This window comes from Homo sapiens, chromosome 3, assembly GCF_000001405.40.
Source record: "Homo sapiens chromosome 3, GRCh38.p14 Primary Assembly".
NCBI classification, from domain to species: domain Eukaryota; kingdom Metazoa; phylum Chordata; class Mammalia; order Primates; family Hominidae; genus Homo; species Homo sapiens.
The window spans coordinates 6,755,144-6,778,815 of NC_000003.12; the positions used below are offsets into that span (position 1 = coordinate 6,755,144).

General features: G+C 37.7%; 1 long non-coding RNA gene and 1 pseudogene across 2 annotated transcripts in view, besides 2 other annotated features; both read right to left on the reverse strand.

The window, feature by feature from the left end:
* Positions 1 to 23,672, reverse strand: part of GRM7-AS3 (GRM7 antisense RNA 3) — a 173,092-nt gene that overhangs the window by 122,786 nt on the left and 26,634 nt on the right. The window lies entirely within an intron of this gene.
* Positions 14,093 to 14,700: an enhancer, noted in NCBI's record as "OCT4-NANOG-H3K27ac-H3K4me1 hESC enhancer chr3:6810923-6811530 (GRCh37/hg19 assembly coordinates)". NCBI's record gives its function as "activates a minimal SCP1, AML or CMV promoter by ChIP-STARR-seq in primed H9 embryonic stem cells {active_cell/tissue: H9 hESC(primed)}" and the evidence as "EXISTENCE:reporter gene assay evidence [ECO:0000049][PMID:30033119]".
* Positions 14,701 to 15,307: an enhancer, noted in NCBI's record as "OCT4-NANOG-H3K27ac-H3K4me1 hESC enhancer chr3:6811531-6812137 (GRCh37/hg19 assembly coordinates)". NCBI's record gives its function as "activates a minimal SCP1, AML or CMV promoter by ChIP-STARR-seq in primed H9 embryonic stem cells {active_cell/tissue: H9 hESC(primed)}" and the evidence as "EXISTENCE:reporter gene assay evidence [ECO:0000049][PMID:30033119]".
* Positions 17,694 to 18,227, reverse strand: MRPS36P1 (mitochondrial ribosomal protein S36 pseudogene 1; annotated as a pseudogene).

Consider the following 23,672-nt stretch of genomic DNA (forward strand, 5'->3'; position numbering starts at 1 on the left):
AATGCAATCCTTATCAAAATACCAATGACATTCTTCACAGATATAGTAAAACAAATCCTAAAATTGACATGGAGTTATAAAAGATCCCAAATAGCCAAAGAAACCTTGAACAAAAACAACAAAGCTAGAAGCATCACATTACCTGAATTCAAAATATACACTAAAGCTATAGTAAAGAAAACAGCATGGTACTGGCTTAAAAGATAGACAAATAGACCAAAGGAACAGAATAGAGAGCACAGAAACAAATCTAGAAGCCAACTGATTTTTGACAAAGTTGCCAAGAATACACAGTAGAAAGTACAGTCTCTTCAATAAACAGTGCCTTGAAAAGTGGATATCTTCATGTAGAAGAACAAAGCTAGATTCCTATCTCTCAACAAACTCACACAAAACTCAGCTCTAAATGGATTCCGGACAGAAATGTAAGGTTCAAAACAATGAAACTACTTGAAGTAAACCTAGGGTAAATGCTTCATATTGGCCTGGGCAATTTGGAAAAGACCTTGAAAGTATAAGCAACAAAAGCAAAAATAGGCAGATGAGATTACATCAAACAACTTCTGCACAGCAAAGCAAACAGACAACAGAGTGAAAAGACAACCACAAAATGGAAGAAAATATTTGCAAACTATGCATCAAGAAGTTAATAACCAGAATGGATAGGGAACTGAAACAACCCAATAGCAAAACAAAAATAATTATATTTAAAAATGGGCAAAAGACTTGAATAGCCTGGCTCAGTGGCTCACGCCTGCAATCCCAGTACTTTAAGAAGCCGAGATCACTTGAGGTCAGGAGTTTGGGACCAGCCTGGCCAACATGGTGAAACCTAGTATCTTCTAAAAATACAAATTAGCTGAGCATGGTGGTGCATGCTTGTAATCCCAGCTACTTGGAAGGCTGAGGCAGGAGAATCGTTTAAACCCAGGAGGTGGAGGTTGCAGTGAGCCCAGATTGTGCCACTGAACTCCAGCCTGGGTGACAGAGCAAGACTGTGGGAAAAAAAAAAAACAAAAAAACAAAAAAACAAACCTGAATAGACATTTCTCAAAAGAAGACATACGAATGGCCAATAAGTATATGAAAAAATGTTCAATATCACAAATCATTAGCAAAATCAAAACCACAATGAGATACCACCTCACACTTGTTAGAATGGCTATCACCAAAAAGACAAACAATAACAAATGCTGGTGCAGATGTGGAGAAAGTGAAACTCTTACATGCTGTTAGTGGGAATGTAAATTAGTACAGCCACTAAGGAAAATAATAAGGAGAGTCCTCAAAAAAATTCAAAATAGAACTATCATGTGATCCAGTAATCCTGTTACTAGGTATATAGCCAAAGAGAATAGAATCAGCATCTCAAAGACATATTTGTTTTCCCATGTTTATTGCAGCAGTATTCACAATGGCCAATATATGGTAGCAATCTAAGTGTTCATTAAAGGGTGAATGAATAAAGTAAATGTGGTATATATACACAATGGGCTACTATAATATTTGGTCAATAAAAATAATGAAGTTCTGTCATTTGCAGTAACATGAATGAAACCGGACAATGTTATGCTAAGTGAAATAAGCCAGATACAGAAAGACAAATACCGCATGATCTCACCTATGTGCAGAATCTAAAGACGTAAGTCTCATAGTAGTAAAGACTAGAATAATAGTCACCAAGGGCTGGGGAAGGGAGAGAGAAGGGGGAATAGGGAGAGATTGGTCAACGGGTACAAATTTATGGGTAGATAGATAGAATATGTTCTGGTGTTCTATTGCACAGTAGGATGACTATGATTAACAATATTGTGGCCGGGTGTGGTGGCTCATACCTGTAATCCCAGCACTTTGGGAGGCTGAGGTGGGTGGATTACCTGAGGTCAGGAGTTTGAGACCAGCCTGGCAAACATGGCGAAACCCCGCCTCTACTAAAAATACAAAAAATTAGCCGGGCCTGGTGGCAGGCGCCTGTAATCCCAGCTACTTGGGAGGCTGAGGCAGGAGACTTGCTTGAACCTGGAAGGCGGAAGTTGCAGTAGCTGAAATTGCACCACTGCACTCCGGCTGGGCAACAGAGTGAGACTTTGTCTCAAAAAAAAAAATATATATATATATATATGTGTGTGTATATATATAGTATTCTGTATCTCTATATTTCAAAATAGGTAGAAGAGACGATTTTGAATGCTCTCATCACAAAAAAATGACAAGGTATGAGGTGATGGGTGTGGTAAATACCTTGATTTGATTTTTCCATAATATATACATCCCACTGTACCTCATGCATATGTACAATTATTATCTGTCAATAAAAACACAGTTTAAAAATTACTGAAATACAACCCAGTAAAGTTATGATTTTTAAAAATATAATTCTTTGAACATCCAGACAGAAAGATCAAAAACTTGTACGAGAAATATATCAGGCTGGCCTTAGCATTCACAACAATATACATCATCAGAAATCAGTGGAGAGATAAATGCACAGTCCTCCAGGAAATAAAGTGTGAGCAAAAATGTTATACACACCTAGACAAATTGCTGAAATAGAAAGGCAACAGCAGGCATTTTTGATCATGCAAGCACTAGGAGAATATATTTCCTCTAAAGCCAACTTGAAGAAATTGTTTAAAAAAATAAATCTCAGTTGAACACCTGTTGAATAGAAACACTGTAGCACAAGGACAAAGGTGAACCTAAACTCCATTTGACTTTAAAAGTAAGGAAAAAAGAACTCTTGGAATCACAGCTTCATTAGTACAATGTGAATGGAATGACAACGGAGAAACAATGTAACTAATAAAAGTTGGCAAGAAATTAGGCAGTTGTGTAAGAATATTGATTATTTCATGTTTTATAATCAGAAGTCTAAAAGCCTCACTTATAGCTGATAGTTCAAACAACTGAGGTTTGGATATATTTTAAGGTGTGAAACAAGTACAAGTAGAACTAATAGTAGTATCTACTAAGCCATATTGGAGAAAATGAATGAATTGGAGATGTATCAATACATCATTGTTCTAGTGTCTACAAAATAGGAGATAAGTACACTAAATCATGTTATAGATATAGAATCAAATACGAAAATGACCCAAAACAGAAACAAAAGTTTCCAGAATGGTAGTAAGATACCCAACCCACACACAAAAAAGCAAAGAAATATACACAACACAGAAAAAATAGAGCAATAAAACAGAAAACAGCATAAAAGATGACAGAATGAATAGAAATACAATATTATAACTTTTCATTGAAGTTAGGAAGAAAACAAGGACGTTCATTATCACAAATATAAGTGTGGCATAAAAATGGGAAAGAGGGAAATAATGCTATCATTATTTGAAAAAGATATGACATACTTGAAAAACTCAAGAAAATCATCTTGACGTCTTATAACAAGAGAATACAGTGACATGATTGGGAACAAAATTAATCAACAACAAAAATTAACGGCCTTGCTATAGACAAAAAACTAAATTTTCAAGCGACAGAAGAGACTCCATTTTAAATACAAATAGAAACATAGAATACCTATGAATAAACTAAAAATATTGGAAGACATATTTATTGAAGAAAGTGTAGAAGGTTGTTAAGACACCTAAAAAGTGCTTGAATAGAAGGAAAATCATACTGATCTGGGATAGGTAGACTCTATACAATGAAGATTTCAACTCATCCTAAATTATTCTATGAATTTAATTCAATTCCGATAAAACAGTTGAAAGGATAATTTTCTCTCTGGAATAAGGGATTTAGATTCTAAAGATTATATGGAAAACTAGTTATGGCCAGTATCTCCAAAAGAGGAGTAGAAAGAGGTGAGAATATACTCTCCAAATCATACTATAGATATTATCAAACTAATTAAATGGCAAATACAGTGTTGGAACACAAGAGAGTCCAGAAATAGACCCAAATTACACAGGGAATTCATTATATATCAAAAATGGAACTCATATCAAGGAAGAAAGGATAGGTTATTTGATAAATCTGATGGAGAAAACTGGATAAAACATGAAAAGATATAAATGGAAATAATGAAAACACGAATGTTCCTGGGGAAAGCATGGAAGCCTTTTTTTGAAGATACAGACCTTTCTTAGTATTGGTCAAATCATAGAAACCATGCTAAGAATTTATAACTTCATAAGCATTTTGAATAGAAAAAAAACAATGTCAAAAGCCAACACAACAAACTAGAAAAAGATACTTCCAACAAGTACTTTAAGTGTGACTGCTATTCATTTTTACTGTATAAAGAACTTTTTATGTATCAGAAAACAAACCAACAGGAAAAAATAGGCGTAAACAAAGCTTACAGACAAATAAGAAACTAAAATTTGTCTTTTAAATATTTGAAAAGGTGCTAAGCTCTACTTATATATAGATACACAGACACACTCACACACACACACATATAAACTACATTGAGACATCACTTTTCATTTATCAATGAAGATATAGAGGAAAAAAACTCTCCTTTATTGTTGTGACAGTTTAAATTGCAAAACTTTTGCAAAGGTCAGCTTGACTACAAATTTGATAACACACACCACAATTTAAAATGTAGGTATGTTTTAATTTAGCAAATTTACTCCTAGGTATTTTTTTCTTCAGGTACTCTAGTATTTAATAGGTATAAACAAAGACATATATACAAGAACAATCACTGAAAAATTGTTTGCAATACTTAAAACACTTCAAATGTTCAATAATAGAAAACTGAATTCAATATTATAATACAGCTTGATTATGTAACTATTCGTGCATTGGTATTGGTTAGGACTATATCTGGAAAAATTCACACAAAATGGGTAATAGTGCTAGCCTATAGGGAAGGAAACAGGAAAACAAACAAGTGGAAAGTCTTACTTTCCCTATGTGTGCATTCATAATTTTTGATGGCATGTCATGTACACATATTATCCATTTAAAAAAGAAGACAAAATAATAATGGAAGTGAAATGATTGTACTAAGTACTTCCTAAATGCAGTTTGTACTGACTTAAAATTAGTGTGAAATATTGGCTCAAAACTGTCCTTTTCATTATTTTGTATATTAGAACAGTTTAATTTTTTAGAGGCTGATACATATATTGAATTGTTTGACTGCATACAAGCTTCCACAATACTTAGATTAAATCTGAAAGTAATCAGTTCTTCTATCATTAACTTGCTGCTCTGTTTATGCTAAGATATTGGATCAAGATGAATTTTTTTCCTAAACTGCAGTCATCAAATCTCATTTCCCGTTGACGTACCTATTTATATTTGAAGCACAACTGTTTAACTCTGTCCATTTGCATAGGTCAGTTAATAAACCTTGCAGATATTTAATTTGTATCCATGATGTATCTAACCCAGAAGCATTGGTCTATTTTGATTTAATTTGATACTCTCTTTTTAGAACAGTCTGAATATTTACTACAAAGATTGTAGTTTCCCTTAACATTTCATCGTGGACATTTTCATTCACTCAACAAATATTGACCTAAGCTCTCTGGGTTTATGTGATGATGGGGATATTTGTATAAAAGATAGTGAGAATTACATATAAATATTATGTTCTGTAGTGCCTTATAAGCCTCTGATATTTTGCTATAATGTAAGATATTTATTTACATTCACATTCAACTTACATTTATTGGATAACAGATATTGGGATATAAAACCAAATCAGCCATGGCTGCTGACAATCCAGCAGGGTGGAGAGATATATGAATGGTTCATTACAATTCGATATGGCAAATAAATTTATAGAAAGACTCACATGAGCAAAGGAAGAACACATAACCCAACTCAGTCAGGAGAGCGGGGAGAGGGTGCTGGAGACAGTGACTCTGTGTCTGAAGAGATGGTTGAATTTAAGTAGGGCAAACACAGTGAGTATGGCATGGTGATGGAGTGCTAGTTTAGAGTCCAAGAATCTAAAACTTACTAACTCCATGTCCATGGGCAAGTTACTTTACTTCTCTGTTTAAAATGGTGATAATAATGGTCCATGCCTGTCAAGATGGATTGGGGATTACATGAAATGATTAGAACAGTACCTGGAGTTTAGTAAGCAGCTTATAAAAACAAGCTGCTATTGGGTTTTTGTTTGTTTGTTTGTTTGTTAAGTTCCAGGGTACATGTGCAGGATGAGCAGGTTTGTTACATGGGTAAACGTGTGCCATGGTGGTTTGCTGCACCTGTCAACCCATCAACTAGGTATAAAGCCCAGCGTGCATTAGCTAGTTTTCCTAATGCTCTCCCTCCTGACACCCACGCCCTGACAGGCCCCAATGTGTGTTGCTCCCCTCAATTGTCTATGTGTTCTCATTGATCAACTCCCACTTATAAGTGAGAAGATGCAGTGTTTGGTTTTCTGTTCCTGTGTTAGTTTGCTGAGGATAATGGCTTCCAGCTCCATCCATGTCCATGCAAAGGACATGATTCCATTCCTTTATATCACTGCATACTATTCCATGGTGTACATGTGCCACATTTTCTTTATCCAGTCTGTCATCGATGGAAGACATGCTATTGTTTTTATTATCAAGTATGGTAGAGTGGGAGAAGGGAGGTAGAGCCTTACAAACAAGAGAGTGACAGGAAGGACACAGAAGCAGAAGAAACAGCCTTGCACAGGGTGCAGTTCAGGCTAGAGAATGGCGAGAGATGAATGTGGAGAAGCAGGCAGGGACTAGAGCACAGTGGCTGTGAATGCCCTCCTTAGGCACTTGACGGTCATCATGACTTGGGGATATTCTCATTCTCTGCAGGGGAAGGATGTGCTCAGACTTGGCTGGCTGAGCTGTCACTCTGGATGTTTGCAGTCGAGAAGACTGCAGTCACAAAGTGATGGATCAGTTTAGCTAGAAATGATGAAGTCTGAACTAGAAGAACAATGCTAGAGAACAGAGTGGAAGCAAGCAATTTAAGGAATATCTAGTGGGGAAATATTATCAAGTCAAAGTGGATAATTCGTTGTATTTTGTGGAAAGATGGGGGAAGCCATGGGTCACATGGAGTCCAGCTTTACAGGCGATTTTTGCCGTTATCCCCAAAGGAGAGAACAGGGATAGCAGGGAGAAAAGAAGATGAGCATGCAACAGCGCAGTGCCATTACTCACAGCCCCTTTCCCCAGTTTTTTATATCCAGAACTTCTCCTTAAACAGCTAAGCCTTTCAACTTGCTAAAATATCAGCTCAGTTGAGCAGTCTGAAGAATAAGGAAGCATGAGTCTCCACTGACGAATTATGCCTTCTCTCCGTCGATGTAAATGCTCCCTTAAATCACCCTTGAATTTCTCCTCTATTCCCGAGGAACTGGTTGGGAGTTGAAGCAGGCTATAATAATTTAATCTCTACATAAATTCATAGAATAGAAGTGACAGGACAAAGTTGCACACCACATATTCTGAATGTTCACATCTCATTTCTGGATGCCACTGAATCTTTATCCGTGAAAAGAACAGCACATTCTTAAAAATCCCGTAATTTTCTTTTTCTTATTTGATTTGCTGTGGCATTCTAAAGAGATTCACCACATTTTCCATCTCTGCTTTTACGCATTTGTATTCCATATAGATGCTTTCAAGGTTTCAGTTGCTGAATCTGCATTGTTGAGATGAAATCATGAGCCTTTTGATTTACTGTAAGAGCTTCATTATTCTCAGCTGTGTCATTTGGTGCCAGTATCTCTGCTGCCTAAAAATGCCATCAGGATTCATCGAAAAATAAACAAAACTCTCTTAAAATTTACTTTCTGTCTGTAAACAATAGGAAGAGTAGCCGGAAGGGTACAAGGAAATCTAAAGAGGATGCAAAATATATGCAGGGATTTTGATACACGTTATTCTTCTGAAAACTTCGTTTCATGCTGCCATGTTAAAAATTTCTAAACAATTCGGAGAACAACCCCCTTTTTCCTTCCCATAGAAAAAGAGTTTAGATTAAGGATATTAGCATTATTTTCTCTTCTAATTTGTGTTCACTTTGTATTTCACAAAGATGAAATGGATGCTTATTCTTACAGTATTCCTGTGTTATTCTTTATGTACTCTCTACAGATAGATCCAATTTGGTATCTCATAGAAGGTGAGGCAGGCATCATGTACATACAACTGTACCAGAGAAATCATGCTTCAAAATAGAAAAATATTACCATCCTCATAACATGATTTTATCTACTAAAGTGCTTCCGTGTAAAAAAAAAAAAAAGAAAAGAAAAAAAAAGATATCCTAGGAGGTTGCCTAAGACTTACGTTTTCCAAAAGGGGGGACATGTAGCACTGCTGATAAATGAATATGGTTTTGAGTATAACACTAAGGTGGAATTAATTACCTAGAAACACATAATAAGAAAAGTTTTCTTGTTTCAATTCTTTCAGTACTTCTAATTACTTAAAAGACAAGGGAGAGGATCAGGAAAAATAACAAATGGGTACTAGGCTTAATACCTGGGTCATGAAATAATCTGTACAAGAAACCCTATGACACAAGTTTGCCTGTGTAACAAACTTGCACGTGTATCCCTGAACTTAAAATAAAAGTCAAAAAAAAAAAAAGCAGTTGTGTGCTGGGTTGCCCCTTAGATGCTTACAAGAGGAGGCTGTTTGCATCTCCTCCCAACCATATCCAGTGATGTTACCTCGATAGCCTGAAATTATCCATGGTGGAAAGATCTACAGACAGAAATCAGAAATTTCTGCAAGTCAGACTCTTTGTCTCACATAGCTGTTAAACGTGGAACAGCACATCATTGTTGGGAGGGGATAGTGTCGGTCTGGTCCTACCATTCAGGTCTTCAGCACTTCTGTAATACATGCTCACCTCTTTTTTAATAACAAACCTGCAGTTTCCAGCCTTTTGTGTGAGGTAGCCTCTCCTAGTACCATTTTCCTTTCAATGACATCACTTTGGAAGTTATCTTTAATTTATGCCAGCTGTATAGGTTTTGCTTTTATAGTAATGATACCGTGTCTTTCTTTTTTTTTAAGTATATCTTTTTTTTTTATTATTATACTTCAAGTTTTAGGGTACATGTGCACAATGTGCAGGTTAGTTACATATGTATACATGTGCCATGCTGGTGTGCTGCACCCACTAACTCGTCATCTAGCATTAGGTATATCTCCCAATGCTATCCCTCCCCCCTCCCCCCACCCCACAACAGTCCCCAGAGTGTGATGTCTCCCCTTCCTGTGTCCATGTGTTCTCATTGTTCAATTCTCACCTATGAGTGAGCATATGTGGTGTTTGGTTTTTTGTTCTTGCGATAGTTTATGGAGAATGGTGATTTCCAATTTCATCCATGTCCCTACAAAGGAGGTGAACTCATCATTTCTCATGGCTGCATAGTATTCCATGGTTTATATGTGCCACATTTTCTTAATCCAGTCTATCATTGTTGGACATTTCGGTTGGTTCCAAGTCTTTCCTATTGTGAATAATGCCACAATAAACATACGTGTGCATGTGTCTTTATAGCAGCATGATTTATAGTCCCTTGGGTATATACCCAGTAATGGGATGGCTGGGTCAAATGGTATTTCCAGTTCTAGATCCCTGAGGAATCGCCACACTGACTTCCACAATGGTTGAACTAGTTTACAGTCCCACCAACAGTGTAAAAGTGTTCCTATTTCTCCACATCCTCTCCAGCACCTGTTGTTTCCTGACTTTTTAATGATTGCCATTCTAACTGGTGTGAGATGGTATCTCATTGTGGTTTTGATTTGCATTTCTCTGATGGCCAGTGATGGTGAGCATTTTTTCATGTGTTTATTGGCTGCATAAATGTCTTCTTTTGAGAAGTGTCTGTTCATGTCCTTCACCCACTTTTTGATGGGGTTGTTTTTTTCTTGTAAATTTGTTGGAGTTCATTGTAGATTCTCGATACTAGCCCTTTCTCAGATGAGTAGGTTGCGAAAATTTTCTCCCATTTTGTAGGTTGCCTGTTCACTCTGATGGTAGTTTCTTTTGCTGTGCAGAAGCTCTTTAATTTAATTAGATCCCATTTGTCAATTTTGGCTTTTGTTGCCATTGCTTTTGGTGTTTTAGACATGAAGTCCTTGCCCACGCCTATGTCCTGAATGGTAATGCCTAGGTTTTCTTCTAGGGTTTTTATGGTTTTAGGTCTAACGTTTAAGTCTTTAATCCATCTTGAATTAATTTTTGTATAAGGTGTAAGGAAGGGATCCAGTTTCAGCTTTCTATATATGGCTAGCCAGTTTTCCCAGCACCATTTATTAAATAGGGAATCCTTTCCCCATTGCTTGTTTTTCTCAGGTTTGTCAAAGATCAGATAGATGTAGATATGCGGCGTTATTTCTGAGGGCTCTGTTCTGTTCCATTGATCTATATCTCTGTTTTGGTACCAGTACCATGCTGTTTTGGTTACTGTAGCCTTGTAGTATAGTTTGAAGTCAGATAGTGTGATGCCTCCAGCTTTGTTTTTTTGGCTTAGGATTGACTTGGTGATGCGGGCTCTTTTTTGGTTCCATATGAACTTTAAAGTACTATGTTCCAATTCTGTGAAGAAAGTGATTGGTAGCTTGATGGGGATGGCATTGAATCTGTAAATTACCTTGGGCAGTATGGCCATTTTCATGATATCGATTCTTTCTACCCATGAGCATGGAATGTTCTTCCATTTGTTTGTATCCTCTTTTATTTCTTTGAGCAGTGGTTTGTAGTTCTCCTTGAAGAGGTCCTTCACATCCCTTGTAAGTTGGATTCCTAGGTATTTTATTCTCTTTGAAGCAATTGTGAATGGGTTCATTCATGATTTGGCTCTCTGTTTGTCTGTTGTTGGTGTATAAGAATGCTTGTGATTTTTGTACATTGATTTTGTATCCTGAGACTTTGCTGAAGTTGCTTATCAGCTTAAGGAGATTTTGGGCTGAGACAATGGGGTTTTCTAGATATATGGTCATGTCATCTGCAAACAGGGACAATTTGACTTCCTCTTTTCCTAATCGAATACCCTTTATTTCTTTCTCCTGCCTGATTGACCTGGCCAGAACTTCCAACACTATGTTGAATAGGAGTGGTGAGAGAGGGCATCCCTGTCTTGTGCCAGTTTTCAAAGGGAATGCTTCCAGTTTTTGCCCATTCAGTATGATATTGGCTGTGGGTTTGTCATAGATAGCTCTTATTATTTTGAGATACTTTCCATCAATACCTAATTTATTGAGAGTTTTTTAGCATGAAGGGTTGTTGAATTTTGTCAAAAGCCTTTTCTGCATCTATTGAGATAATCATGTGGTTTTTGTCTTTGGTTCTGTTTATATGCTGGATTACATTTATTGATTTGTGTACATTGAACCAGCCTTGCATCCCAGGGATGAAGCCCACTTGATCATGGTGGATAAGCTTTTTGATGTGCTGCTGGATTCAGTTTGCCAGTATTTAATAGAGGATTTTTGCATCAATGTTCATCAAGGATATTGGTCTAAAATTCTCTGTTTTGGTTGTGTCTCTGCCCGGCTTTGGTATCAGGATGATGCTGGCCTCATAAAATGAGTTAGGGAGGATTCCCTCTTTTTCTATTGATTGGAATAGTTTCAGAAGGAATGGTACCAGTTCCTCCTTGTACCTCTGGTAGAATTCGGCTGTGAATCCTTCTGGTCCTGGACTCTTTTTGGTTGGTAAGCTATTGATTACTGCCACAATTTCAGATCCTGTTATTGGTCTATTCAGAGATTCAACTTCTTCCTGGTTTAGTCTTGGGAGAGTGTATGTGTCGAGGAATTTATCCATTTCTTCTAGATTTTCTAGTTTATTTGTGTAGAGGTGTTTGTAGTATTCTCTGATGGTAGTTTGTATTTCTGTGGGATTTGTGGTGATATCCCCTTTGTCATTTTTATTGCATCTATTTGATTCTTCTCTCTTTTCTTCTTTATTAGTCTTGCTAGCAGTCTATCAATTTTGTTGATCCTTTCAAAAAACCAGCTCCTGGATTCATTGATTTTTTGAAGGGTTTTTTGTGTCTCTATTTCCTTCAGTTCTGCTCTGATTTTAGTTATTTCTTGCCTTCTGCTAGCTTTTGAATGTGTTTGCTCTTGCTTTTCTAGTTCTTTTAGTTGTGATGTTAGGGTGTCAATTTTGGATCTTTCCTGCTTTCTCTTGTGGGCATTTAGTGCTATAAATTTCCCTCTACACACTGCTTTGAATGAGTCCCAGAGATTCTGGTATGCTGTGTCTTTGTTCTTATTGGTTTCAAAGAACATCTTTATTTCTGCCTTCATTTCGTTATGTACCCAGTAGTCATTCAGGAGCAGGTTGTTCAGTTTCCATGTAGTTGAGCAGTTTTGAGTGAGATACTTGATCCTGAGTTCTAGTTTGATTGCACTGTGGTCTAAGAGATAGTTTGTTATAATTTCTGTTCTTTTACATTTGCTGAGGAGAGCTTTACTTCCAACTATGTGGCCAATTTTGGAATCGGTGTGGTGTGGTGCTGAAAAAAAATGTATATTCTGTTGATTTGTGGTGGAGAGTTCTGTAGATGTCTATTAGGTCCACTTGGTGCATAGTTGAGTTCAATTCCTGGGTATCCGTGTTGACTTTCTGTCTCGTTGATCTGTCTAATGTTAACAGTGGGGTGTTAAAGTCTCCCATTATTAATGTGTGGGAGTCTAAGTCTCTTTGTAGGTCACTCAGGACTTGCTTTATGAATCTGGGTGCTCCTGTATTGGGTGCATATATATTTAGGATAGTTAGCTCTTCTTGTTGAATGGATCCCTTTACCATTATGCAATGGCCTTCTTTGTCTCTTTTGACCTTTCTTGGTTTAAAGTCTGTTTTATCAGAGACTAGGATTGCAACCCCTGCCTTTTTTTGTTTTCCATTGGCTTGGTAGATCTTCCTCCATCCTTTTATTTTGAGCCTATGTGTGTCTCTGCACGTGAGATGGGTTTCCTGAATACAGCACACTGATGGGTCTTGACTCTTTATCCAATTTGCCAGTCTGTGTCTTTTAATTGGAGCATTTAGTCCATTTACATTTAAAGTTAATATTGTTATGTGTGAATTTGTTCCTGTCATTATGATGTTAGCTGGTTATTTTGCTCATTAGTTGATGCAGTTTCTTCCTAGTCTCGATGGTCTTTACATTTTGGCATGATTTTGCAGCAGCTGGTACCGGTTGTGCCTTTCCATGTTTAGCACTTCCTTCAGGAGCTCTTTTAGGGCAGGCCTGGTGGTAACAAAATCTCTCAGCATTTGCTTGTCTGTAAAGTACTTTATTTCTCCTTCACTTATGAAGCTTACTTTGGCTGAATATGAAATTCTGGGTTGAAAATTCTTTTCTTTAACAATGTTGAATATTGGCCCCCACTCTCTTCTGGCTTGTAGAATTTCTGCCGAGAGATCCGCTGTTAGTCTGATGAGCTTCCCTTTGAGGGTAACCTGACCTTTCTCTCTGGCTGCCCTTAACATTTTTTCCTTCATTTCAACTTTGGTGAATCTGACAATTATGTGTCTTGGAGTTGCTCTTCTCGAGGAGTATCTTTGTGGCATTCTCTGTATTTCCTGAATCTGAATGTTGGCCTGCCTTGCTATATTGGGGAAGTTCTCCTGGATGATATCCTGCAGAGTGTTTTCCAACTTGGTTCCATTCTCCCCTTCACTTCCAGGTACACCAATCAGACGTAGATTTGGTCTTTTCACATAGTCCCATATTTCTTGGAGGCTTTGCTTATTTCTTTTTATTCTTTTTTCTCTAAACTTCCCTTCTCACTTCATTTCATTCATTTCATCTTCCATCACTGATACCCTTTCTTCCAGTTGATCACATTGGCTCCTGAGGCTTCTGCATTCTTCATGTAGTTCTCGAGCCTTGGTTTTCAGCTCCATCAGCTCCTTTAAGCACTTCTCTGTATTGGTTATTCTAGTTATACATTCTTCTAAATTTTTTTCAAAGTTTTCAACTTCTTTGCCTTTGGTTTGAATGTCCTCCCGTAGCTCGGAGTAATTTGATCATCTGAAGCCTTCTTCTCTCACCTCGTCAAAGTCATTCTCCATCCAGCTTTGTTCCGTTGCTGGTGAGGAACTGCGTTCCTTTGGAGGAGGAGAGGCACTCTGCTTTTTAGAGTTTCCAGTTTTTCTGTTCTGTTTTTTCCCCATCTTTGTGGTTTTATCTACTTTTGGTCTTTGATGATGGTGATGTACAGATGGGTTTTTGGTGTGGATGTCCTTTCTGTTTGTTAGTTTTCCTTCTAACAGACAGGACCCTCAGCTGCAGGTCTGTTGGAGTACCCTGCCGTGTGAGGTGTCAGTGTGCCCCTGTTGGCAGGTGCCTCCCAGTTAGGCTGCTCGGGGGTCAGGGGTCAGGGACCCACTTGAGGAGGCAGTCTGCCCGTTCTCAGATCTCCAGCTGCGTGCTGGGAGAACCACTGCTCTCTTCAAAGCTGTCAGACAGGGACATTTAAGTCTGCAGAGGTTACTGCTGTCTTTTTGTTTGTCTGTGCCCTGCTCCCAGAGGTGGAGCCTACAGAGGCAGGCAGGCCTCCTTGAACTGTGGTGGGCTCCACCCAGTTGGAGCTTCCAGGCTGCTTTGTTTACCTAATCAAGCCTGGGCAATGGCGGGCGCCCCTCCCCCAGCCTCGCTGCCGCCTTGCAGTTTGATCTCAGACTGCTGTGCTAGCAATCAGCGAGACTCCGTGGGGTAGGACCCTCCGAGCCAGGTGCGGGAGATAGTCTCCTGGTGTGCCGTTTTTTAAGCCCGTTGGAAAAGCGCAGTATTCGGGTGGGAGTGACCCGATTTTCCACGTGCATCCGTCACCCCTTTCTTTGACTCGGAAAGGGAACTCCCTGACCCCTTGCGCTTCCCGAGTGAGGGAATGCCTCGCCCTGCTTCCGCTCGTGCACGGTGCGCGCACCCACTGACCTGCGCCCACTGTCTGGCGCTCCCTAGTGAGATGAACCCGGTACCTCAGATGGAAATGCAGAAATCACCCGTATTCGGCCATCTTGGCTCCTCCCCCGTAAGTATGCAGTGTCTTTCTTTAAATATATTTATTTAAATCAATTCAGTAAGAAAGATGAGCTCAATTTAAAAAAAAGTGATTATGTAGACAATACATTAAAAAGGCAAAACAAAGAAAGTGTTACTGGTAAACCCAAAGATTAGGACACATTGTTCTGGGCAGTTTTCCAGTTTTTATTGCTATACAGTTTAATGGGTCATAGTTCTCAGCCACAATTTCTACCCTCGTTATCTAGCCTCGGGGAGTAAGTTTAGGGTATCAAAGAAATATGCATACCTTTTCTCTCTCTGTGTCTTTCATTCTTTCTTACCTCAATGCAAGTTTCTGTGAAAACTAAAATGAGGATTTCTCTGTGGTTGAGTCTGGCCCTCTCTTGAATGGTTCTGTTTCAACCTTTTCAGTGATTTTATAGTTGTCTGCCTTAAATGTAAAACTCCTCCTGGTTCCTTTGTTAGGTCCCTGGATGTCTTCCCAGGGCTCCTAATGTGAGGGCTGGGGAAAGGATTGATGGCTGAGAAGGGAAGAAATGTGGGAGACTTTAATTTCAGAGCTTTTATTTGTGGTTTGTTTTCCTATTTGTTTTTGTGAAAAGGCAAGCACATAGCATGAGGCTGGAGACGAGACTGTGCAAGTATATTATTACTCTAATACTGACTTCGATTGCCTCCTTTTGACCACTTTATTGATATCTAAGATATATAAACAAGACCAGCTCCTTCCCGTCACTCAAACCAACAGCTGATTTATATTGCACTATATAGTCTCTCACTCACAGGAGCATCAGTCGTCTGAAAAAAATGTGCCACTTAATCCCTTTTCTGACTGTCATTCTCTTCAAAGGCCCTACTTCTGGGAAGATATAAAGGTGAAAGTATAAGAAGATATGGGATATAGTTTGAAAATTTGTCAGCGTTCAATATTTAGAAGTCAGAAATTAGTTATCCCTCCTTTCTGGAGACTCTGCTTCGGCATTCGGTCTACTAGACAAGCTGAGAATGGAGACATAAAATAATTTGAGAGTAGTTGAAATAGACGATAAGATTAAACCATTGTTTGAGTGATTTCTAGACAGCAATAAGTTTTGCTCAAACATTTCATCTTGATTTCCATTTGCTCTTTCTATAAAAATAAATCTAGATCGACAGGAGCTGAGTCACCACTCAGACATGACATTTTACATTGTCTTTTAAATACAATCGCTATTATGGTGACAATTACGCACATGAAAAATGTGCCTATTGCCTTTTGTCCATGTTTGGCAGCCAGCTGTGGTGTGTGTGCATGTAAATGAGTGTCGATGTGTGCATGTGCATATGCGTTACAATAAGATAACCTCCATTTGCTATTCTATTCTAATACCTCTGGTGAGCCTCTGTTTTGAAAAAGAAAAAGTTAGATTGAGAAATAAGTAGTTTACAATAGACATGTTATAAAATTAATATAGAGAAATTCTAAGTAGTCATAATGTTCAGATACCCAATATTTTTTCTAATACGTTATAAAAAAGAGTATGTGCTTGGATGAGGATTTGATTTGAAAAAAAAGGAATGGGGACAGAGAGAGGAAGAGAGAGAGAGAGAACAAGAATTAACTCTTTGTATGTTTCTGGGATCTTTAAATGTTATGTCTAATTCTATGTAATTGGAACTGTCTTGTATAGTAAAATGTATGTGAGAATATTAAGAAGTTATTAATTCCTTCTTTTATAAAAGGGAATAATGGGACCCAGAAAAGGAAGTGACTGGCTCAAGGTCAGCCAGTTCTTTGGAGGCATCAGACTAGAATCCAGTTTCCCTCCTTCCTTGTCCTGTGGACATTTTGTTACTCTTATATGTAAAACAAATATTTAATGTGATTGTAAACCTCAGATCGTATATGTTACTTAGTTGTGAACAGAATGTATTCACTGTGAATACTGATTTACTAAGGTGAAAATTTATTATTTTTCACTTTACAAACCTTTACACAAATGAATGCAAAATCAGAATATATATTGAAAGCTGCTTGTACTGACTTAGACACAGACATTCAAATGAATTTATACACTAGGGTCACCAGTCTTGCCTTTTTTTTTTATAAGTAAATATTTATGTTGATTTTATAAGGCTTTCAGACATGAAGTTTGAGAAAGTTAATAGTTATCAGGATTTGCATGCAAGATCACAAAACAGTAAAATAAACCAAAGAACGAGACTTCCTTACAACCTCCAAAACATAATAATTTGCAGTTTCTAGTGAAATCTTTATTCTTATGCTATATTCATTTTGGTCTCTTAATTATTTTCCATTTTATACTCTTTGACTTTCTTTGGAATCTCTTGTATGATCTCCTCTGTCTTAATAGTATAGTCACCTATTTTAGCTTGACTGTATTTTTATCATTCAGAGTAGGATATACTTACTAAGCCAGTTATACTCCGGTAAACTTGTGAATGAAAAAACATTAGAGAACAGAGAATTAAGAGCAAGTAATAGAGTCATTATTTCACTGATCCTCACCCAATTTCAGGAAAATCATATCCCTAAAACAGCAATTCTGACTGATAAATTTTTCCATGTCTAAACAGAAAGAAAAGTGAAATTATGGGAATCCTATGATAGATTACTATACATTGTGTGCTTTTAATAGTTCAACACTGGTAATGTTTGATAATCAAGAGTAAATTAATAGGCTAACATTTAGAAATGTATACTTTAATAAGTATAAAGTATATAAACAATTAGGTAAGCTTGTGGAGAAGTTGACCAAGATACATAAATTAGAAAATACAAGTGTCCATCTAAATTTTCTATATTTCATTTTTTTCATAATATTTATTAAAGGCGTTTAATGTATAGTTTCTCATCTGCCATTTTGGGAGTCCTTTATTGTAAAGACAATTCTATTGTTTGATGACAAACAGCAACCACCATGGTTATTCAGGACCTCCACATTGGATAAATTCAATTTCTTCTTGAGACACAAGTTTGCTTCTGTATTTCTGAGGTAATGTTTTTATTATTTCTGCAGTGTCTGGTGGACCCTGATACATTAGCAAATCTGGTGATGTATCCCTTAGAATGTTGTGAAATTACAGAAGAGTGAGATGGTAGCCCTGCTGATCTCAAAGCTTCTGATACATTGGGTTTAGGATTGTCTCTTCTGTCAGGAAACCTTATTAATGGAGTGTGTGGTTTGACTACCTGAACGACCCTACTGGCAGACGCCATCTTGCTGCCAATCGTCACCCCTGAGAAGGGGCAGTTTCCAGTCTTGCCTTTTAATTTATGAAATTTGTGACAAGTATGGACTTGAAGGAGCATTTCCAAACTGTGGGCGTTTTAGGCCCACATCTTGCATCTGTACATCTTTGAGAAGTACACAGAGAAGGACTGAAGATGAGTAGGTCTGAATGGGATCCCAGCCCACACACTGCTTCTTCATGCAGTTAGCTCTTTCTTAAGTTCAGGAACTTAAGTTGGAACACCTATTCTGACCAGACCAACATGTTTAGGCAGGTTTGATGATCATTTCCTGGGTTTCCATAGTATCTATCCTGTGTCTAAATATGACATATTGTGTTGAACTAGTCTATAAATTCCTTGAGGATGCCTCTGTATCTACTATACCTCCCCACCTCTGGACACAAGCAGAAGCTCAAGCAGTGTTAATGAAATGACCATATCTAAGCAACTTCCCCCAGGATAAAACTTCCCCATTCCCTGCTATCATTTTGTCATTACCAAGTAGTGACATATATACATCCTAGCTTGATTGTACAAATTCCATTCCTTAATTGAAGGGTAGATTTTAAGCTGCCTAAGATTCAAATCTTTGTTTAAATTTGTATAATGAATATGTGCTTGTGCCTGGCTCCATGGAGTAAAAGTCAAAACCTCAAACCAGCAAGAGACCCAGATTCTAGTCTCACAAAAATGTGTTTGGTCATCTGGGATCAGCTGTTGATACTCTCAGAGCTTCAGTGCCTTCATGGGTCAATAATTGGAACATCTGTTATTTGCCTCATAGCACTGGTGCAAAATATAATAATATGAGTATTTTATTAATAGCAGTTCACATGTATGAAGATTTTCCTATTTTCCAGGCACTGTGTTAGTTCTTTTATAAGTATCAATTTATTCTATCCTCACCACAAACCATATCCTCGAGTTCAATAGGGCCATGATTCATATCCAGGCTAAATCTGATTTTGAATCCAGGTCTCACACTCCTAAACGATTGTCTCATACTGTTTGCCCTCAAATGAGATAAAATATGCAAGTATTTTGAGACATACCAAAGTGACTCAGAACTATAAGGCAATGATGGTGTAGAAATGGATGCATAGACTGAATCTTTAATTAAGCAAGAAAAAATTGACATAGAGAAATGCGAAGAAATTCACGAAAGACATTGTCCCCATGGAAGGAGGGGAAAAAGTGGTCCAGTGATATATTTGAAGGAGATAGAGTGGGGAGGTGTGATTGGCTAAGAGAGTTGGAATCACATCTGTCATTACTTCCCTTGCTTTATTTACAGCAGGTGGTAATCTCAACTCCCCGTTCTTCCACTCTCCCTACACCCACCTTCTACCACCTTCTCTAACCTGGTCAGAAATCTTCTAGTCCTTTAATGTTCAGCCAAATCACCACCTCCTTGTGATTTCTTTTTAGGTTTTTGCCTTACTCCCTTAGAAATGAACCATTTCTTCTTTTCTGCTCTCACAACCTCTTTTACTTCTATTTCAGGGTTTCTTAAATTTGGTATTCTTGACATTTTGGTCCAGATAATTCTTTTGTGTTTGGGAGCTGTCTTGTACATTGTAGGATGTTTGGCAGCATCTCTGGCCTCTTCTTTTTGAATGCATGATTTACGCCCCCAGTCATGACAATCAAAAATGTCTCCAGACATTGCCAAAAGTCCCCTCCAGGGCAAAATCACCTCAGTTGAAAGCTTTTGGTTTTTTAGCCATTGTAACTACATGACCCAGTTTTTAAGGGGAGCCCCATACCTGAGCAAATTGTTCCAGTGTTCACTTTGAAAAATATTCTTACTATTAATATATCACCCAGTGTTTCTCAAACTTTAATGAGCTTTAGAGAAACCTGGGAGCTTATTAACACATAGATAGCTAGCCCCCCAAGCCGCTTTTCCCCAAGTCTCTGATTCCACTACTCTGGGTGGGGGTGTAAGAGTGCCTTTCTAATACATTTTTTTTTCTTTTTTCTTTTTTTGTTTGTTTTTGTTTTTTTTTTCTAGCTTCACAAACTTTGTTTAATAAGTGTCATAATCTCACAAAGTAAAATGCTATCATTGAATATAACAAATGTTTGCATCATATAAGTAACAAATATTTATCTGGTATAACTACTACATGTATTCACTTATCTATTTAGATGTATCAATATCATTATATAAATGATATAATGCAGCACTGCTATCTGTGTAGATTCATCAGTGACTTTTTTTTTTTTTTTTTTTTGAGACGGAGTCTCGCTCTCTCTCCCAGGCTGGAGTGCAGCCGCGCGATCTCGGCTCACTGCAAGCTCCGCCCCCCGGGTTCCCGCCATTCTCCTGCCTCAGCCTCCCGAGTAGCTGAGACCACAGGCACCCGCCACCACGCCTGGCTAATTTTTTGTATTTTTAGTAGAGACGGGGTTTCACTGTGTTAGTCAGGATGGTCTCGATTTCCTGGCCTCGTGACAGACCCGCCTCGGCCTCCCAAAGTGCTGGGATTACAGGCGTGAGCCACCGCGCCCGGCCCATCAGTCACTTTTCTACTTCCCCCACCAGTTCTTGACCGTTCTCTTGATTAGTACGTAATCAAGATGGAATATCTGCAAGTGCAAGTTTCCTCTCGTCTGTCTTCATCAACGTTTTTTTTCTGATAGGAAACAACTTGCGTATATACAGAAATTTAGCTTGATTTAATAATACCAATGCTGAATATTCTCATCCAGGCATGTGAGATGCCCATGCAACTTTCCAAAATTATTTTATATGCTTCTGTGTTTTTTCTATAATTTTTATAAGTTTATGTTTTTATTTTTAACTTTTATAATTTCAACTTTTAGATTCAGGGGGTATACGTACAGGTTTATTACATGGATATATGGCAAGATGCTGTGGTTTGGGATACAAATGATCCCATCACCCAGGTAGTGAGCATAGCACCCAATAGGTAGTTTTTCAGTCCTTGCCCTGCTCCCCCTCTACCCCCTGCAGTAGTCCCCACTGTCTATTGTTACCATCTTTATGTTCATGAAACATATTTCTTAAAATGTGGTGCTGCTGATGTGGGAGCACACTTGGAGAATCATGGTCAGTACCGCAGTTCATCCATTCTGCCCCAGGTTTAGCTGGTTAGATGCCTCTTAGGCTGGACCGTACTTTACTATTTCTTCTGCCCCCAACTCTGTGTTTAGCATGTCATATGATCTCATTGAGTTGAACAAAAAATCAATAAATCTGAAAGTGCTTTGAAAAGGTTAAAAAGATTTAAAGATATAAAATGCCATTAGTAAGGTAATGGGATTTGCAAAATTTGGGGGTCAGGTAGAGACAGTTATGTTTCCCAGGCATTTCGTCATGAGCTCTAGATGAAATGCCTCCTGTGAATTTGAATACATTGGGATTCAACTAAAGGGTTGCCGTAAATTTTTCTGTTGTCATGGCACATCAAGGAAGTTGATGGATAAAAGGACATACTAATGAGAGTCTAAGTGAAAATATGAAATGAAATGTATGGTCTCTAAGCGACTTTTCTTCAAAGACATTGGGAAGGCATCTATTCCTATCATTGCTGATTATCAGGACCACTAAGCTTTTTTAGGAGGTGGATGAACTTGTACAGATCCTGCCTTTTTGACCATATCTATGTAAATATTGGGAAGAAAAGTGATGAGAGACCACTTGGGAAGTGTAAAAAGTGAGAAAATACGTATCTGGATTCTTAACATGAGCCCCTTCATGTAATAAAGTGTAAAGTTATGTTTGATAAGTCTGGCTGAAAAGGATGACGCGGGAGTCCACACACGCTAAGCATACCTTCATTTAAACAGACTCAGAATGTCCCCGGAGGGCTCCCTCCACCAGCCAGGGGAAAATAAATAAAATAAACAGTCACATCCCAAATAGGAGTTATATATATATCTTCAATCCCGCCTTAGCAACAATAGCATTTGGCTTAAAGGATTACACTAGAATCTCTCAGCATCTCAGCTATACAGGGAGGAAATCAAGGTAGAAACTCAATACCTGAGCATAAAGCAATTGGAAGTTTAAAGAAAAAGCACACCATGAAGACTGGTCACTGCAAACTCTTATAATCCCACATAAGCAAGAAACTATTCCATTTGAACAGCCCCTTTATAAAAAATAGCAAAACTCTTTTTCTATTACTTTACTTTTTAATGCATCACTTCTATCATGTGAAAATGTTTGGCAGCTCTAACTAAACTCAAGAGTTCTGGAAGAAGATAATACTAGTAATAATAATTTAGGTTATAAAAGGCAGTAACATTGCATTTGAAATGTATATCTTCACATTAAAAAGAAAATAAGTTTTCTAACCTTAATTTTGCACATAAAATATCTGGTCTATGGTTAAATGTTCCTCAAAACCTTTTCCAGATTGTTAAAGAAGTCATCATGCTATAACTTGAGCTATTTAGTCTCGTTTATTTTCTCTTTATGTGGCAGCCACTAGCTGTTCCTACTTTCTCATTACCAGACCTTTCACAATTATTGCCAGAAAGCATATCCATTTCACTGCTCTGTTGTAATTTTGCTACTTCTTCCTTTATTATACTGCTTGATCTCATTCTTATTCTTGTAGAATTCAGATTGTTAATCTGTATCTTTTAGGTAGCCTGTTAACCTACAGATGACATTTTTCTCCCAACTCCATCTATAATTCAATGCCTATGCATTTAGATCCCCAAATGCCATCTCTTGCTCACTAAAAATCCTATACTTGTCACTTCTACAATAATTTAATCCCAAAGTATCCTAATTAATGGATTTTCTATATTTTCTCACATATTTTTCAAAATCCAAGTCTCAAATTATAAGTTCCTGGCATGAAAAGATATTAAAAACCTAGCGTTAACTGAATTTAAAAAGTCCATAAGCCATTAAAGAATTATGGAACGTGTTATCTTATTTTTATTAAAAGAAAAGAAAGGAATACATGCATAGAAACAACACTAAAGAAATATATCCGCCAGGCGCGGTGGCTCAAACCTGTAATCCCAGAACTTTGGGAGGCAGAGGCAGGCGGATCACCTGAGGTCAGGAGTTCGAGACCAGCCTGGCCATCATGGGGAAACCCTGTCTCTACTAAAAATATAAAAATTAGCCAGGCATAGTGGCACACACCTGTTGTCCTAGCTACTCAGGAGGCTGAGACAGGAGAATCACTTGAACCCTGGGAGGCAGAGGTTGCAATAAGCCAAGATAATGCCACTACACTCTCACCTGGATGACAGCAAGACTCTGCCTAAAAAAAAAAAAAAAAAAAAAAAAAAAAAAAAAAAAAATCAATTCATTCACTGATTATCTCTTAGAAGTGAGATTTTAGAGAATTTTCAATTTTTATATACCTTATTGCTATACTTTTTCTCTACTAGTCAGTGTACACTAGTTTTATTATCAGAAGAAAAGAAAAAAGACTTTTTTTCTATTGACAAAAAAAGAAAATGTGTTTTAATGAA